At 37.5% G+C, this 20,120-nt stretch overlaps 1 long non-coding RNA gene across 1 annotated transcript in view, besides 1 other annotated feature; it reads left to right on the top strand.

Moving 5' to 3' along the window:
• Positions 1–20,120, top strand: part of LINC00158 (long intergenic non-protein coding RNA 158) — a 45,882-nt gene that overhangs the window by 7,805 nt on the left and 17,957 nt on the right. The window contains exon 4 of the long non-coding RNA NR_024027.2: positions 3,097–3,189. This is a non-coding gene — a long non-coding RNA (long intergenic non-protein coding RNA 158). The remainder of the gene's footprint in view (positions 1–3,096; positions 3,190–20,120) is intronic.
• Positions 2,152–2,351: an enhancer, noted in NCBI's record as "active region_18304". NCBI's record gives its function as "activates an Ori minimal core promoter by ATAC-STARR-seq in GM12878 lymphoblastoid cells {active_cell/tissue: GM12878}" and the evidence as "EXISTENCE:reporter gene assay evidence [ECO:0000049][PMID:35858748]".

Here is a 20,120-nt window from a genome sequence, read left to right as displayed (position 1 = left end):
TTGATCACATTGTTGATAAAAAGGATTTAGTAAAATTAATGTAATCATTTATAATAATATTAGATTAATGAATCAGACCAGAATAATTCTCTAAAATGGTTTAAAGTCATTTAAATTAAATCTATTCAAACGTCTTTATTCCAGTGGTAATTTTCTTAATATTCTATCTCTTTTCCCTTTCTCTTTATCATTTTAATTTAAATAATCAAAAATAGAGTGGTTAAAGGGACCATGCCAAGATACTGGTAAATATGAAACTATTCTACTTATATCAGAATTTTTATTAATACATTCGTGTTCAAATAGAAATCAATTTCCCAGGATAAATCTTTCTTTGATTTATAAATTGTTAACTATTAGACCTCATTTCTGGTGCTCATAGATATGTAACATATTAGCAAACTCAGACATCACTTTTCTTCCTTCCTTGTTCAGTTAGCTGTAGAATACAAAAAGAATGGTTTCATGCTGACTGATTGCTGTCCTTCATTCTAGTATATTTATAGACCTAGCATACATTATGAAGCTTCAAAATGTTTTCCAATATAATATAAATAGCAAATTTAATTTTGAACCTATTGATATTTGGAATAAACATGTAGCACAATGTTTGACCCATAGTAGATAATCAATTAGTTTTTGTGGAAAGGATGAAATCTTCAAGTTGACTGTTCTAGAAAAATTGGCTAGCTGAAATTTGCTCCATGAAAATAGACTACTTTCCTGAGCTTATATAGTATTTTGCAACTTCCTGCTGTAATTCAGAACTAAACCAAAGCCTCTTAACTATAGATGTGTCTGAACCAATCTATCACCAATTCAACAAAAATGCTTTAAAAATAGACCAAGAATTATTCCTTTGGATAAGTAACTGATATACTAGTTTATATTTAAATTAAAAAATAATTCAGACATATAAATTGAATGCTACCAAAGTATACAAAATTAAAAGTAAAAATAAAAAACATAACCTTAAAGCACATGGCTGTTGTTGAATTGGGAATGTAGACAAGCTACTGTTACTGTCGACAGTACTTGCCAAGGTCAGGTTCAATTAACGGCCAATGCCATGAGCAGGGCATCAAAACCACCCACCTTCACAAAAAACACTTGCAGGCACCAGGCACCATGGGCACATATTCAAGAAGAGGCTAAAAACTTAGAGAGAAGCAAAGGGACTCTCATATTTCCCCTTATTTCCGTATTGTTTGTGATGAATAAAGCCTTAATATTCATAAATATCCAAATAATTCTAATAAACTACTCAAAACATACTTTTTAGATGACAAAAACACACGTAAAATGATTTTTTTTCTGGAACATCAATTCCCTATGGTTTCAGGGAAGATAAATATTAAGTGTCTTAGAGATACAGTGTGAAACCTCCTGGGTTTCATGTTTGCCACCAATTGATGAATCTGTCTTTTCTAATAAGAAATGATCCTAATATTCTTGTAGGTTATAGAATTTAAAGAGATTATAAAAATCACTCCTTCCTTCATTCTTTAAATCATTTACCAAATATGGAGAGTCTCTTAAGTTTGTAGTGGGAGTAGAGAAATAAGAAAGACAGAAATAGCCTGTCTTCATGGGATGAAACGTGAAAGTTATTACACCTAAAAACTGTGAAGAAAAAGCTATCATCAGTTCCAAAAGTTGGAGGAACATTTCAGTTAGACAGGAAGAATAAGTTCAAGAGATCTATTATATATCATGATGACTATAATTAATAACAATATACTGTATACTTGAAAATTACTGAGTGTGAGGTAATGCATATGTTAATTTGTTTGATTTAGCCATTCCACAATGTACACATAAAATTAAACCACGTTGTACACCATAAATATATAAAATTTTTATTTGTCAATTCAAAAACAGTTGGAAGAAACAAACGAGAAAAACAGAAGCACACAGCATGGTGGTTTGCTTTTTACTACGGTCTTTTTCATGTTCTTCTATGCACCTGTAACGCCCCCTTCAGGCATTTGTGTTCCACTTTCTAGGCTGGGCTCAGGGAGCCATCTCTGCCTTTTTCTAGTGCCTTGTGTCTGTGTATGTACCTCTCTCATCCTCACTATGCTATTAAAATCGATCTCTTTATATGTCTGTTTCTATCAGTGAATTACACACTTCTTGAGGGTGGTGACAGATATTATCTTTCAACCCTACTCATCATGATGCAATTGAAAAGTGGATGAGTTGATTTGCTGAAGGTTGAATTCTTGCAGGAGGCATGATGAAGAAGAAAAGCTTCACTTCTCTGGAGACAGGAAGTCTGAATTCTACTCTGTGGCTGCCACTTACAAGTACATAGGAACTGAAAACAAGGACACCATGTGAACTTGTATGGCCACTTTCAACGCTGAGCAGTGGCAGATGCTTTTGGTACTTTGCATCTCTTCCTCTCGGCCCCTTACTGATTTCAGCCACTGTGTCAGTGGACAATCTCTCAGAGTTCAGAGACTCATCTCTTGCTGGCAGCTATCTCCTGTTTTCCTGGGATTTGGCTCAGGAAAGAGGACACTGGAAGAGGCAGGGATTTTTGTCCTTGGGCAATCATTAACCAAGGACAATGGGAAGCTGTTGGAGAAAATTTTCAGCCTCTTGTCTTTGGCCAGAAGTGGGAGAGGTGGAAGGGGATGACTGCAGGGCGTTTGGTTTGCTTCTCAGAGGGCCCGGCAGAAAAAACCCACATTTATAACACAGCCTTATGTTTCCTTTCCTTCTTCTCACTCTTCTGCTCATTTATTTCAGCTTCCTGATATCTCCTTCCAAATAAACCACTTGCCCCCAAGTCTAAGTCCTTGTCTTAGGCTCTGCTATGGGGAAGACTCAAACCAAGACACCAGCCTAAGCGGCAGGGTTCTTAAGTGGTAACCTAATAAGGCCAGTACTTTTCTGTTTTGTTTCCACATAACACGTAATATGATTTTCCTCCCAGCCTGTGCATGCATTTTCTCATTGATGGTTAGGTCCAGCCAAGGACAACTTGACGGACTATTTTTTTTTTAATTGTCATTGTCTTAGAATATCTTCCCTCTATTTACTAGGCAAGATTTATGTAATTTTTGTATTTGTCTCATTTGTTGACAGGGAACCCTGAGCAGAACACATGCACAAACTCATGCCATACCCTAAGGGACAAGGTTCCCCACATCTACTTGGAAATCTTTGGGATGCTCAATGGTAAGTACTGTAAGTTGCAAGATTTCAAAAATATTCAGGAAGAAGAAATTTGTGAGCCAAGTAGCTCCAAGTCATTCAGCCTTCTGAGGTTACGCTGTCCTTTCAAATACAAATTCAATAAATGAGCCCTTCTTCCACAAATTCAATAAGTGATGCAGTTGACTAATACCCTTTCTCGTATTTCCCTGAGTCAATGAGTGAAAAGAAGTGGGTACAAGATGCTCTTGGCTTATATATTCTCCCATTTGACAAACTTCCTAGTATCCATTTCCTATATCACTTTCTTTAGCTCTGGAGCTATTATCCTCCTGGTACCTGTCTCCTGCCTATACCAATTCATTCCAAGCCAGAAAGGAGTACCTTTCCTTCAAAACCTTCTGTATCATTAACTCAGGGCTGTAACAGAGAATTTACTTTACCTGAAGGTTTGGTCATGTAGCACAAATAAGGAAACGACCTCAAATAGAATAAGTGAATCACCTTTCCTAAGTTCATTAGCCATTTCTGCTTTAGGGGACTGATATTTTTTATGCTTTTTTTTTTTTTTTTGGCTCCTGGCCTGCTACTATTTTTGTGGGTCTGCTCTCTTGTGCCACAGTCTTTTCCCCCTTTTCTTCAAGTCCTTAAATTCACCTCCCACCCATTTCAGACAAAACCTTTTTACAACACACATTATTACTGCATGTGGAACTTACCGATCATTTGTTAAATGGAACAATTTAGCTATTTAGCTTCCTTTGTGTCAACCTTCTCATTCCAGACTCTGCCCTAGACATTGCCTTTTGTAACAAAAAGTCCCAATAAAATGTTCTCTCAAACAAACTGCGGGTTGGCAATGCACATTTAACAATATAAGGATTGGCAGAAACTTTGAAAATCACAGCTCTTCTTTAACTGTTTAAAGATAAAATTCTTAGGTGGTCTCCAGGTCGAAGCATTACTCATGACTGCTCTGTCAGGGGCTTTGTTAGAGGAAGCAGGATGGTGGCAGAGTTCTTTGCTCCTTCTCGGGACATAAAATCTGCGGGTCAGAGTGGCCCCACCTGCCTCCCTCTCTTCCACAGTCAAACACAGCCTAGACTGCCTGATTTGGGGTGCAGTCCTACTGACAGCTCCACTTTATGTCTCTGGTGGATTTCTCAGGTTTGCATCATGGTCAGGGACCAGAATAAAAGAAAGTGAACTGGGAAATTTTTAGGGTCAGAAAAGGAGTTTTAAACTCATACACACTTTATCAAAATCTTTTTTTTTGAGACAGAGTCTCACTCTGTCGCCCAGGCAGGAGTGCAGTGGCACGATCTTGGCTCACTGCAAGCTCCGCCTCCTGGGTTCGAGTGATTCTCCTGCCTCAGCCTCCTGAGTAGCTGGAACTACAGGCATGTGCCACCACATCTGGCTAATTTTTGTATTTTTAGTAGAGATGGGGTTTCACCATGTTGGCCAGGCTGATCTCGAACTCCTGACCTCAAGTGATCCGCCCGCCTCAGCCTCCCAAAGTGCTGGGATTACAGGCATGAGCCATCGTGCCCGGCCAAAATCTCTTTTCTTGAGTTGGGCTTATGGTGTGGCACTGACTGCTGTTGGACTGCTGCATCACGAGGCTAATAGAGCTTTTCTAAAATTCAGCAATCCAGGCTCTAGCTTCTGAGGATGTGTGGGGTGGGAAATGCAGGGAGCTAGTATTGCTGAGATCTTCAGACTCTCTCTGAATACTTTTCCTAGACCCAATCTCTTTCTCCCTCCTTTCTGAGACTAATCAGTGACACAGATATTAGATATTTGGTGATTGTCCCATAGGTCCCTGAGGCTCTGTTCAGTTTTTTCCCAGTCGATTTGCTCTTTGTTGTTCAAATTGGAAAAGTCCTATTCTACAACTTCACTGATCCTTTTTTCCTCTCCATTCTGCTGTTGAGACTATCCATTAATTTTTTTAAGGTATAGTATTTTTCAATTATAAAATTTCCATTTGGGTCTTCTTTATATCTTCTATCTCTTCACTGAGACTTTCTGTTTTTCGTTTGTCTCAAACACATTCATAAGTGTTTATTGAAGCTTTTTTATAATTGCTGTTTTAAAATTATTGTTAGATATTCCTGGCCTTTGTGTCATTTTGGTGTTGGTGTTTGTTGATTATCTTTTCTCATTTATGTTGAGATTTTCCCAGTTCCTAGTATAAGAGATTTTTGATAGAAACCTGGACATTTAGGGTATTATCAGACTCTGGATCTTATTGATCTGGTATAACAGTCTTCTTCTGGTAATGCTTTGGTGGGTGAAAGGGGCACTGTCTCCTTATTTCCAGGTGGGGCTACAAGTATTGAAGTCCCAGTTCCCAAGTCAGCCTCTGTTGACTCCTGAAGATAGGCAATTCTTATTACTGCTGAATGGGCAGGAGACTTCAGGCTTTTCCCTGGTTCTCTGTGACATCACCCTGGCATGGAGAGGCAGGAGTGGCTCCACTGTCACTATGAGACAAGGATGTCCTTTTTACCACTGAGCTTGTTCTAAGTTTCCTCTGGACCTCCTCTGTTGATAAGCTAGTGGGGACTTGAGGAGTGAGGCTGGAAGTCCAGCCTCCCTGCCAACACCTCAGGGATGAAGGTGAGGTCTTCTCATTGCCTGGCATCATAAAAACCTCTGCTTCCATCTGGGCTTTCTTTGATATCACTCTGGTGGGAGGCTTGGGGTGCCTCATTAGAGTTAGCAAAGGTGCCCAACTTGGCCTTTGTTTGGGAGCATACAGTTATTTTCTATAGTGCCTGGCTAGAGTAGAATGCTTATTTTCTAAAAATTTTCTATCTTTCCGGGATGCTCTTTTTTGGATAATAAGAGCAAGCTTTCTTTGGGCTTTTTTTTTTTTTTTTGCCCATACATATTGGTATTTCTGGATTGTTGACTTGGGATAGATGAGGCATAGAAAACCCAAAGAAACAGAAGCCTAGAAAACTCACTACTATGTCTTTCCTTGGGTCCCGAGGTCCCTAGGCAGCCTGCATTCTTCCTTCCACATTTCAAAGTCTTCTTATGTCTGTTTTTTATATAATGTCCTAGTGTCTTTTTTTCTTTTCTTTAACTCGTAGTTGGGAGAAGAGCAGGAGGAATGGGGAAAAATACATCTACTTCATTTTTCCAGTAGTGAGAATGTCTGATGTATTTAAGTTAGAGAACTCTAAGATAGAGTGGGATTAGAGCCTTTGAAGTGTGCCACTCATCTAACCAATCTTCAGAGCTGTAGAGGATCACTGGGCTCTGACCAGACTCTCACTGTCTGGTTACTTGATCTAGGCTACCCATGAACCACAAAGTCTCTGGCTGTAGAAGGGATGGTGCCTTCTCCTGCCCTGATTTCTACCATATCCCAACCCATACTTCCATCTCTCTACCCTTTATTGTTAGATATGTGTCTTTTCACTTACTTTCCCTATGTATTTCCCAATGTCTGGTCTATCTCTGTACTACATTGAAAAATTGAATAAAAATACTCTGTAGTCTAAAGAATGAGTACCAAAAGGGAGAAAATAATTATAATTATGCTATTATTTGGCATGTTTGTTCATATCAAATTTAATTTAGTAATTTCCCCCTTCAAGTGGGCTTTTTAAACTTTTCTAAAAACAGAAAAATAACTTTTCTTAAAAGAAAACGTTTTGATTCTCTTCATAAAAAAAGTGTGTATGTGTTATATTGCTGAATGGTAGAGAAAGACAAAGTAATGTTGGAAGTAATGCATGCAGAAAAAAGGTCTCAGTTCAGATACTGTCTCTGTGCTGTTGGAAAACTGTTTGTGTAATTATTTTTAATTCCAAATGCCGCAGTATTCACAAAATTACTGTTTTTTCCCCTGGTAATGAGAATTAAGAAAGGCCAGACAGAAAGAAAGTGAAATAGAGTGATTACTAATGCAGAAAGTGTGTTTAACCCCAGAATCCTAATATCAGTTAAACTAATATTATGGCTTCATGATTTTGTTTAAAAATTAATTTTCCCTCTCTAAAGTGTTTGACAAGCTAGTTTTTGCTACCAGCCATGTCTCAATGGATATGAACTGACTGGAAACTTTGGACATCCATAGAAATATTTATTGAATTTTTGAATAATAAGGTTATCCACCAAACAATAAGCAAGCACATGTTCATGTTTGTTGAGCAACTGTTCCTAGTTGAAGTACAAATTTGGGTTAGAGAATTCAGAAGGAAGAGCAAAGTATGCTAAGTTGTTTGCATGGATTATACATCTATAGATAATAAAAAACAAATAAACCAATCAATCAACCAAACAAACCTTAACTGAAAACACAATGAACATAAGACAAGTTTATTCTCTATTAGAACAAAAAAACATGACAACAGTGTGTGTTAAACACAGTTCTTTTCTATGGAGTTCATGTTCAACTTTTCTCTATGCAACTTTTTATGCTTGGGATAGCTTAAAGGAAAGAAGGGTGAATATGAGTTTCTACTATTCCTTCACTTATAAAGGAAATCTAACCTGGTGGAAAGACCATAGGATTCATACTCTACAACTGCCTGTTCAATGAGAAAATACCTTCTCAAGATCATGCTTGTCTCCACTAGAGCAGAGTGGGGCGGGGTGGGGGGACTGCTCTTATTTATTAAAATGGATGCCACTTTTTTGTTAGCTTCTGATTGTTAAAGTCATTCCTTATATGGAGCTGAACTTTTCCTCTGTGTTCTAGTTTTGTCTTATGCAGCAAATCTCTTCCAGTATCTCTTCTGTACGATGGGCTTTATTTACTATTTTACATGCGCATGTTTTAAATTCAATTATTTGAGAATTAGTTGCTTTAGCTTTGCATGACACTTCACTCCTTATTCATGACACTTCACTCCTACATACTTAAATGAGTATCTCAGAAGAACAAGAAGATTCTCCTCAAACCCACAATGCAGTGATCACACTCAAGACATTTAAAATTGATATAATACCATTATCTAATATATAGGCTTTAGAAAAAGTTCTTCAATTGTCTCTATGCAGTCTTTAAAATGTTTTTTAACTTTATTTTTAATTAACAAATATTATAAATAATTGGTATATATTATATATTTATGGGGTCTTGATGTGATGTTTTGATATTTGTTTACATTGTGGAATGATTAAATCAAACTAATTAACAAATTCATCCCCTCACATACTCATTATTTTTTTGTGGTGGGAACATTTAAAATCTACTCTTTAATTGTTTTTTATAATCACCATTCTGTGCAATAGATCACTAAAGCTTATTCCTCCTATCTAACAGAAATATTTTGCCCTTTAATAAACACATATGATAGACTTTAAATGCTTTTTTCTTCTGTAAGATCTCTTCAGTAGACTATTCATTATTGACAGAACTTGTAGACATTTACCATCATAATAATCTCCTTCCTTCAATGTTCCCTGTTATGGATAGAATGTTTGTGTCTAACATTTGTATTTCAAAATCTAACCCACAATGTGATGGTGATATAGTTTGAATATTTGTCCCCACCCAAATCTCATACTGAAATATAATTCCCAATTACATGGGGCCAGGTGGGGCCTGGTAGAGGTGTTTGGATCATTGAGGTGGATCCCTCAGGAATGTCTTGGGCCATCCCCTTCATGATAAGTGAGCCCTCGCACTGAGTTCACGTGAGATCTGGTGGTTTACAAGTGTGCAGCACCTTCCCCGACTCCCCACTGTTACTCTTGCTCCCGCTCTGGCCATGTGAGAAGGCTGCTCCCGCTTTGCCTCCTGCCATGAGTAAAAGCTCCCTGAGGCTTCCCCAGAAGCCCAGCAGATGCCAGGGCCATGCTTCCTGTACAGCGTGTAGAACTCCAAGCCAATTAAGCCTCTGTTCCTTATAAAGTATCCAGTCTCAGACATTTCTTTATAGCAAAGCAAGAATGGCCTAACACAGATGGTATTTGAAGGTGGAGTCTTCAGGAGGTAATTAGGTCATGAGGATGGAGCCCTCACAAATGGGATTAGTGCCCTTATAAGAAGAGGACAGAGAGCTCTTGCTCTCTTTCCACCATGGGAGGATACATTGAGGAGTTGGAAGTCTGCAACCCAGAAGGGGATCTTTGTTAGAATCCCACAATGATTGGACCCTGATCTCAGACTTCCAGCCTCAAGAATGTTTGTTGTTTAAGTACTAGTCTATGGTATTTTGTTACAGTAGCCCAAACTGATCAAGACACTCCCTATATTGCAAATGCACCTTCTAAAATGTGATAGAAATATTGGTTTAAGAAAATTTCAATTCAGCACAATTCAATTCAACAATGCAGGGAACAATCATCAAGCATTTATAATTTGCCAGGCACTCTATTAGGCCCTAGGGCTATATCAGTGAACATGAAAGATGATCTCCATTTGTCTTCCTGAAGATCACAGTCAGCCAAGACAGATATTCAATATTATTGAATAATTCATTAGTGGTAACAACTGTGATGAGCATTGCAAAAGAGGTTGTAAAGTTGTCTAAAGCAAGGGGAATTTAATCCTGGAGAATCATGGAAGCCCTCTATGATGAGGAGATATGAAGTGAAGACTTGAAACATGAGTAGAAATTAGAAGGATTTCTAATAGAAATTTTCTGGGATAACAGAGGTCCAGGCAATGGAAGTGGTACATGGGGAAGATGTGGGGCTGAGAGGTGCCTGAGAGCCAAGGGACACAGTGTTTAAGAAGAGGATTCCAAGTTCCTCTATCAATGCAGCAGGTCCTGCGTGGCCATTATTAGGTAATGGGGAACTCGCTGTTCAAAAAGGAGTAATACCTCCACTCTCTTCTTTCTGGGTCTTGCTATTTAGCTTTTACACTCTTTCCTTTTATTTCCTTGCACCATGGTGTTGACAACTATCTTGGTTATGTGAACATATTACTTCAATAATAAAGCTTTAAATGTTTCACTTATGGAAAAAGTGCTCAAGGCAGATAATCTCTCTTCTTCCTCCTTAGTTATATTTTTGTGTCACAATAATCAATTAGATAAAGACAAATCAGTGTCCATTGGGTTTAGCAGCAAGTAGCTCACTGGTAACATCACAAAGAGCCCTTAGTGGCTTAGTGAGAGAAAACCAGATTGCAGCGGGGTGGGGAGTGAATAGGAGGTGAGCTAGAGACTACAGGGAATGCAGCCACTCTTAAAAATCTTAGTTGTCGGGGCAAGAAGAGAGATAGTGTAAGCATCTAGAAGAAAAGAGGAAAAAAAATGTCTTTTTTATTATTATACTTAAAGTTCTGGGGTACATGTGCGGAACGTGCAGTTTTGTTACATAGGTATATACGTGCCATGGTGGTTTGCAGCACCCATCAACCCGTCACCTACATTAGGTATTTCTTCTAATGCTATCTCTCCCCTAGCCCCTCACCCCCTGACAGGCCCCCATGTGTGATGTTCCCCTCCCTGTGTCCATGTGTTTTCATTTTTCAACTACCACTTGAGACCATGGCAAGCTTAAATATTTCTGGAAGAGCAATAGTATTTTGCAAAAAGTTAAAAATAGAGAAAAAGTTTTTCCTAAATGATGCCTCATCTGTGAATTTTGATGATTTCCAATTTGGCTTAAAAGGTAAATTTAATATACAAATAATGACTAGGACAAGAGCCTAGTTGTATGATTTTAAAAAAGTAAAAAAAGAAAATTAAGTAGTATGTATTATGGAGACATTTGGGTAGAATGGACAATACATTCAAAAGGTTACCATCTAAAAATCAACTTGGGCTGGAGGTTTAGAAATAGAAAAGATTTTGAAGCTTGCCTGCCTTACCAAAGTAAGGGAGTTACTTAGCCTTTCCAAGCCCATGCTTTCTGCCTGTAAAAAGGGGATTATGATGCTGAATTTGAATGTTTTTATGTTTGTGAAGAAGAGGTAGTCCTTGTAAAGTTCCTGGTATGGTTGATGTACAATAAATGATAGTTCATATAAAAGACTTAATAGAACACAGGCCTTGAAGGACAGAGAGGTTTTATGCTGTCATGCTTTGCACAGAACAGTTGTTCTGAGAATCAGGAATAAAAGAGAAGTGAAATGCACACGGTGAACAAAATATATGAAGCTACAGAACATATGTGAGGGAAGATATGTTGGGTCCACATATCATGTAGGAAAGTTTAACTGTGTTCATATTAGGAAAATCTGGGCATCAGATATGTGGAAGCTAACTCATATCCTGTAATTCAGATTATAAATGGTAATTATATTTTCTATCATAACAGGTACAAATCTCAGTCCAAACTAAACCAGGTGTGTAAGAAACATTATTTTTCTATGTATTAATGGAATTTTTCTTTGAATCCTCCATTTCCCTAGGATATCAGACACTAAAACTCTTTCTCTTTTCCCTGGGCTGTGTTTAAGTTCAAGGGAGACTTATGTAAGTGTGAGGTATTGCATGACTCATCTTGTCCTTGAGCCATCTGTCCACACAGATATCTGCTGACCATTCCATGGTGCCACTTGGTCCTTGCTCACCAATCCATGCAGTAAACTGTCAAGACAATTCTCATTCTTGTCTACCTTGGACTTCAGGTCTAATGGATCACTCTGGTACTTTCATGCTATGCTTGAAAACTGGGGCATCATTCCATTTCTTCCATGCTATTCTCTGGCAAAGGATTTATCCTGGGACTTATCTATGACCCTATTTGCCTTCATATGGAATGTGGGGCTTTATCACTTCTCGGGGTTTATTATCTAAGAAGAGGGGCAAATATCCAAATTTATTCTCTGGCTTTAATACTAAATTGGTATCTTGCTCCTTCACTGAAATTCTAATTTGGAGAGTGGAGTCAATGTTCTGTCTCTAAACCACCTTAATTTGTTTTTCTTCTGCTATTCCCTATGCTTTTAGCCTTCTGGGGAAATCCCTTCCTGTTCACATCTTGATAGGTTCCTCCCAAATTCATTTTTGCCCCTAAAAATAAACCCCTTTTAGCTTTAAGATTTTGGAAACATATAAATCAGAGACTTAGAGGAAGTTTCCTTTTTGCACTCTACCCTGTAACACCTGCATCCTCAGGAAATAACTCAGAATGGACTATTTGCCTGAATTGGCTGAATAGATAGGAAAGGGAAAGTGGGAACTTTAGGGAAAAATAATTTATAATTCAACAACTGGTGACAATGACAATACATTGCATTACTTTACAACTTGCTATACAATTGTAAATTGATAAAGACCCTATATCGGTCATTTCACTTTGGCTATTTTCCTCCAGCAATGCACCTCAGTACATTTTTATTCATTTGCATTCTTCATTTTCATGTCTTGGAAAAAAAATTTCTGTACAAATTCCTGTAGCTTAACTAACCAAAATTTAGATTATTTGGCAGAAATGTTAGTGTCTGGCAATCACAATTCTGAGATTGTAGTGGCAACATTTTAATATGGTCGTATGGGTCTTGCCGTTCATCTTACAAAGGAAATTACTTCAACCCAGACTTTTTTCTCCTGGAATATTCCTGGAAAATCAATATTGATTCTTGTCCAAGGTTCTCGGTCACTTCTCAGTGACATAAAATCACTTTTGGAAGGTTTGTGCAAAGTTGTGTAGCATATACTATGTTAATATTTTATTCAATATAAATATTTTATCCAAAAGTTATCGATTCTACTGTCTTGTGTTGCCATGTTGAATTTTTTTTGCATTTTCTTTTGCATGCCAACTTTTTACTAGTACTATTTCTTAATATTACATGTTTACCTGTAACATGTATTTTAACTATTTTCATATACTGTCAATAGAAACATGCACATTTTGTACATTGTGCTTTGTTTTTTTTTTTCTTTGGTGGGACACACGCAGTGTGACCCAGTTGTTTTCCATCATTTCGTTGTGCTAAATTAGGAATGTTGGTCATATCAAACATTAAAAATGACCATTCTTAAATTAAAATTAACTTTTAAGTGTTTATAAGAGTATAAGCATTTAAAATAACTTCATGCTGTGAAGCGATCTGAGATCTGTAATATTTTTGTCATGAACTGTACTGCTCCTAATTATTGTAATAAAAATAGTTATGGTAAAAAATTTTATTCAATATAAAAATCAATTAACGGGTTGGTAGATTTCCACTTTCAGTCAGTGCCTTCATAGAAATACATTCCTGATCTAGCTATGTAAGATGAACAACATGGATGAGTTCCATTTGGAAGGAGATTTTCTATTTATAAGTGCTTTTATTCTCCAGGGAGTTTCTCTACTAGATATCCTCTCCACATGAGCCTTAAGATAATTTACCAACCCCCGAGACACCTGTGGGATATGTTCTAACACCAGTATTTTCAGTGACACAACACAATATGATGAGAATTTAATATTGCTTTTCTAAATGTCCAAATATTTAGACAAGTATGTCCTAGGCTTTGGACATATATCTTCAGTACTGGATAAAGGAATTTATAATTAAGAGTAATACTACCCTTTGGGAGGAGTTATACATGTATTCTGAGTGGGTATGATGTTATTCTTGAATAACTGATATCTTGGGGCCATCTGGCATTTTGTGGCTAGTCACTGCATCAATACCATATGGTGAAGTGTCAGGGGCAGGAAACCATGGTTTATTTCATTTGCTTTGATAATAAAGACTCAGAAGTCAGTAACTTCTTGACAGTCTTGAAAGTGTCCCCAAGTTGGAGAGCAATGAAATAATGAAAGGGTTAGATAATAAAATAATGAACAGGCTGAGCAAAGAATGTATGTGTGTGTGTATGTGTGTGTGTGTATGTGTGCATGCAACACATAGAGTTGCCTCAAGGATATGTGAAGACCTGATTTTGTCTCTGGAGCAAGTAAATTATAGTTGGTGTTACTATTAAGGGTAAGAGTGAAATAATTCAAGCAGACAAATATTTTGAAAGGTAATAATTTCATTTTTCTCTTTCCACCTGATGTGGAAAAGTGAGGGTGGCCTTATGAAGTCTGTCTCTGAGTATGTCCAATATTAGTCCTGCAGTTAGGATTATTCACCTAGGATCTCACAACAGGAATCCCATATATCAGGGCTTTCATCAGAAGCATTGAAGCATTCTGGGGGATGCAGAATTTCCAAACCACTTAGCCTAGAGTGCTTCTCAGTAGGTATCAGTTTGAATGTTTGTAGTAACATCTGTAATGATCAAAATCATTGCCATATATTTGGACCAGAACTTTAAATACAGGTCTTACCATGTTATTGTATTTATTTTAAATTTCTTTGTCTTTTTAAGTGTTATATTATTTTAAATTGACAATAATTGTGTATATTTATGGGAGGGATACAATGTGATGTTCCATGCATACATAGTGGAATGATCAAATCAGGATAATTGGCATATTGATCACAAGTATTTATCATTTCCTTGTCATGAAAATCCTCTTTTCTAGCTTTTTGAAATCTAAAATACCTTAATATTAATATTAAGTTATTAATATTCACTATAGTTACTGTACTGTGCCATAGAACACCAGAACTGATTCCTCCTATATAACTGAAAGATTGTACCTATTAACTCTCCGCATCCACACCATCCCTTCATCCCCTGCCTGTAAAACCACCATTCTACTCCCTGCTTCTATGAGTTCAACTATCTGAGATTCCACATGAGTGAGATCATATGGTATTTGCTTCCCCGTGTCCGGCTTATTTCATGTAACATAATGTCCTTTAGGTCCATCCGTGTTGTCACAAATAACATAATTTTATTTTTTAAAAAAGGCATATACATATAAGGTGGGTTTGCTAGATGATATGGTAATTTTATTTTTAGTTTTTTGAGGAACCTCCTTATTGTTTTCCAAAATAGCTGTGCTAACTTACAATACTACCAACAGTGTATAAGGGTTTCACATCCTCCTCAACCCTCTGTGGGTACATAGTAGGCGTATGTATTTGTGAGGTTCACGAGATGTTTTGATTCGGGCATTCAATGTGAAATAAGCACATCATGGAGAATTGGGGTATCCATCCCCTCAAGCGTTTATCCTTTGAGTTACAAACAATCTAATTACATTATTTAAGTTTATTTAAAACATACAATTAAGTTATCATTGACTATAGTCTCCCTACTGTCCTATCAAATAGTAGGTCTTATTCATTCTTTCTAAATTTTTGGTACCCACTAACCACCCCAACCTGCCCCCCCAACCCCTCACCACCATTTCCACCCTCTCATAAACCATCCTTCAACTCTCTATGTCAATGAGTTCAATTGATTTGATTTTTAGATCCCACCATGGGATGTTTGTCTTTCTGTACCTGGCTTATTTCACTTAACATAATGATCTCCAGTTCCATCCACATTGTTGCAAATGACTGGATCTCATTCTTTTTTATGGTTGAAAAGTACTCCATTGTGTATATGTACCACATTTTCTTTATCTATTCATCTGTTGATGGACACTCAGGTTGCTTCCAAATTTTAGGTATTGTAAACAGTGCTGCAAGAAATATAGAAGTGCAGATATCTCTTTGGTATACTGATTTTCTTTCTTTTAGGTATATACCCAGCAGTGGGATTGCTGGAGTATATAGTAGCTCCATTTTTAGTTTTTTGGGAACCCTCCAAACAGTTCTCCATAGTGGTTGTACTAATTTACATTTCCACTAACAGTGTACAAGGATTGATTCCCTTTTCTCCGCATCTTAGCCAGCATTTGTTATTGCCTGTCTTTTGGATATAAGCCATTTGAATTGGGGTGAGATAATCTCTCCTTGTAGTTTTTATTTGCATTTCTCTGGTGATCAGTGATGCTGAGCACCTTTTCATGTGTGTGTTTACCATTTGTATGTCTTCTTTTGAGAACCATCTATTTAAATATTTTGCCTATTTTAAAAATCAGATTATTAGATTTTTTTTTCTGCAGAGTTGTTTGAGTTCCTTATATATTCTAGTGATTAATCCCTTGTCAGAGGAATAGCTTGCAAATATTTTCTCCCATTCTTTGGGTTGTCTCTTCACTTTGTTGATTGTATCCTTTGCTTTACAGACGCTTTTTAACTTGATGCAGTCCCATTTGTTCATGTTTGCTTTGGTGCCTGTGTTATGGGGTATTGCTCATGAAATCTTTGCCCCGCCCAGTGTCCTGGAGAGATTCTCAATGTTTTCTTTTATCAGTTTCATAGTTCGAGGTCTTAGATTTAAGACTTTAATCCATTTTAATTTGATTCCAAAGTGCTGATCCCAAACTTGAGTGCCTGCAAACCTCCCATCAAGGGCCAAAGTGCTCTTAGTCCATAAGTAAACTTGAAAGGGAGTCTAGGCCTTAAGGAGTGCGACTCATAGGCAAGTCCTAGGGCTAAACTAAGCCCAGAGACAGTGGATTGTGAGGGGCATGTGACATACTGAGACACCAGCTGGGGCAGCCAAGGGAGTGCTGGCATTATTCCTCCTCTAGCCCAGAGGTGGCACAACTCACAGCTCCAAAAGACACGCCTGCCTTCTGCTTGAGGAGAGGAGAGGGAAGAGTGGGGAGGACTTTGTCTTTCATCTTGCATACCAGGTCAGTTACAGCAGGATAGGGCACTGGTCAGAATCAAGAGGCCCCTGTTTCAGGCCCTAGCTCCCAGACGACATTTCTAGACACACCCTGGGCCAGAAGGGAAGCTGCTGCCTTGAAAGGAAGGACCCCGCCCTGGCAGCATGTATCTCCTGCTAACTGGAGAGCCCTTGGGCTCTGAATAACAAGCAGTGATACCCATATTCTAAATCAAGGGACTTGGTGAATGTCTGAGACTTGCTGGCTTCAGATACTTATACTACCACAGCAGGGTAGAGCACCAAGTGGGTTCTTGGGGTCCCTGATTCCAGGACTTGACTCTTAAATGGCATTTCTGGACCTGCCCTGAGCCAGAGCGGAGCCTACTGCCCTGAAGTGTGAGTCCCAGGCCATGCAGCATTTACTGCAAGCTGATTTAAGAGCCCTTGGGCCTTAAGGGAACATCAGTGGTAGTCTGGCAGTACTCCTTATGGCCAGGAGTGATGGTGGTGGTTGCTACAGAGTGAGGCTCCTCTGCCTTTGGAAAGGGGAGGGAAAAGTGGGAAGGACTGCATCTTGTGGTTTGAGTGTCAGCTCAGTCACAATAGAATACCAGGTAGACTTCTACCTGTAGACTTCTATGTTTTTTGACTCTAGTCTTTGACTCTTGGACTGCACTTCAGGACCCATCCAGGGCCTGGGGAACCTTGCTGCCCTGAAGGGAAGAGTGTTATGACATGTTTGAAGTGCTTAAGGAAAATAACTTTTATCCTGTAATAGTATATCTGGTAAAAATATCCTTCAAACATGAAAGAGAAATAAAGACTTTCCCAGACAAACAAAAGCTGAGGGGTTTCATTAATATCAGACTCATCCTACAGAAATACTAAAAAGAGTACTTCAATGAGAACAAAAGGACATTAATGAACAATAAATAATCACCTTAAGGTACAAAACTTACTGGTAATAGTAAGTACCCAGAAAAACACAGACTATAATAACACTGATATTACTGCCTCATATGGTAGTTCCTTTTTCAGTTTTGGAAGGAACCTCCAGATTATTCTTCACTGTGGCTGTACTAATTTACACTTCCACCAGTGGTGTATGAGGCTTCCCCTATTTCCACATCCTCACCAGCATTTGTTATTGCCTATATAAAAGCCATTTTAACTGGGGTAAGGTGGTATCTCATTGCAGGTTTGACTTGCATTTGTCTGATGATTAGTGATATTTGGCCTTTTTTTCAATACCTGTTGATCATTTGTATGTCTTCTTTTGAGAAATGTCCATTTAGATTCTTCACCCATTTTTAAATAAGATTATTTGATTTTTTTCTATCAAGTTGTTTAAGCTCCTTATATATTCTAGTTATTAATTGCTTGTCGGGTGGGTAGTTTGCAAATATTTCCTTCCATTCTGCAGGTTGTCTCTTCATTTTGTTGGTGTTTCCTTTGCTATGCAGAAGCTTTTTAACTTGTTTTACCTATTATCATTTATTATTTATTTATTTTTGCTTTGGTTGTCTGTGCTTTTGAGGCCTTACTCAAGAAATCTTTGCTCAGACCAATGAGTTGGAGATTTTCGTGAAGTTTTCTAGTAGATTCAAAGTTTCAGGTCTTGGATTTAAGTCTTTAATCCATTTTGATTTGATTTTTATATATGGTGAGAAATAGAGGTCTAGCTTCATGCTTCTGCATGTGGCTGTCCAGTTTGCTCAGCACCATTTATTAAAGAGACTAAAGAGACTATGCTTTCCCAATGCATGTTCTTGGAACTTTCGTCAAAAATGAGTTTACTGTTAATGGATAGATTTATTTTTAGGGTCCTTATTCTGTTGCCTTGACCTATGGATCTGTTTTTATGGCAGTACAATGCTCTTTTGGTTACCATAGCTCTCCAGTATAATTTGAAGTTAGGTAATATGATTTCTCTAGTTTTGTTCTTTTTGCTCAGGATAGCGCCTGTTCAGGCTCTATTATGGCTCCATATAAATTTTAGAATTATTTTTTCCTTGTGAAGAATAGAATTGGTGTTTTGGTAGTGACTGCATTTAAACTGTAGATAGCTTTGGGTAGTATGTGCATTTTAACAATATCAAATTTTCCAATCCATGAGCATGAGCATCTTTCCATTTTTTGTGCGTCCTCTTCAATTTCTACATTTATTATTATTTTTAAAAGTCATGAAGAACTATAGACAACTTCTTCAATCAATATTTTATAGTTTTCATTGTGGAGATCTCTTACTTCTTTGGTAAATTCCTAGGTATTTTATTTTATTTGTAGCTATTATAAATGAGATATTTTCTTTATCTCTTATTCAGATTGCTCATTGTTGATATATAGAAATGCTACTGATTTTTGGCCCGGTGCAGTGGCTCACACCTGTAATCCCAGCACTTTGGGAGGCCAGCGGGGTGATCACCTGAGATCAGGAGTTTGAGACCAGCCTGACCAACATGGTGAAACTGTGTCTCTACTAAAAATACAAAATTAGCCAGGTGTGGTGGCACATGCTTGTAATCCCAGCGACTTGGGAGGCAGAGGTTTCAGTGAGCCGAGATTGCACCATTGTACTCCAGCCTGGACAACAAGAGTGAGACTCTGTCTTAAAAAAAATATAAAAAAAGAAATGCTACTGATTTTTGTATGTTGAACTTTGTATCTTGAAACATTACTGAACTTGTTTATCAGTTCTAACAGTTTTCTTGTGGTCTTTAGGGTTTTTGGTTTTTCTCTATATAAGATCATATAATCTGCAAACATGGATAATTTGACTTATTTCTTTCCAATTTTGATGGCCTTTATTTTTTTCTCTTGTCTGATTGCTCTAGCTAGGACTTCCAGTACTATGTTGAATAACAGCGGTGAAAGTGGCCATCCTTGTTGTCTTCCAGACCTTACAGGAAAGGTGTTCAGTTTTTCCCCATTCAGTATGGTACTAGCTGTGGGTCTGTCTTATATAACTTTTATTATGTTGAGATATGTTCCTTCTATACCAAGTTTTTTTTTTTTATCATGAATGAAGGGATGTCAAATTTTATCAAATGGTTTTTCAGCATCGATTTAAATGATCATATACTTTTTGTCCTTTGTTCTGCTGATATGATGAATCATATCAGTTGATTTGTATCTGTTGAACCATCCTTGAATCCCTGGGATAAATTTCACCTGGTCGTGATGAATGATCTTTTAAATGTATTGTTGAAAATGTTTGCTAGTATTTTGTTGAGAATTTTTGCAACAATATTCATCAGAGATATTGGCTTGCAGTTTTCTTTTTTTGATGTGCCTTTCTCTGGTTTTGGTATCAGGATAATACTGGCCTTATAGAAGGAGTTTGGAAGTATTCCCTCCTCCTTGAATTTTTTGGAATAGATTGAGTAAGACTGGTATTAGTTTTTCAAATATTTGGTAGAATTCAGCAGTGAATCCATCAGGTATTGGGCTTTTCTTTGATCGGAGACTTTA

This window comes from Homo sapiens, chromosome 21 (assembly GCF_000001405.40).
Source record: "Homo sapiens chromosome 21, GRCh38.p14 Primary Assembly".
Lineage (NCBI taxonomy): Eukaryota > Metazoa > Chordata > Mammalia > Primates > Hominidae > Homo > Homo sapiens.
Note: the sequence above shows the minus strand (reverse complement) of the source record. Positions and strands in the feature narration are given on the sequence as shown.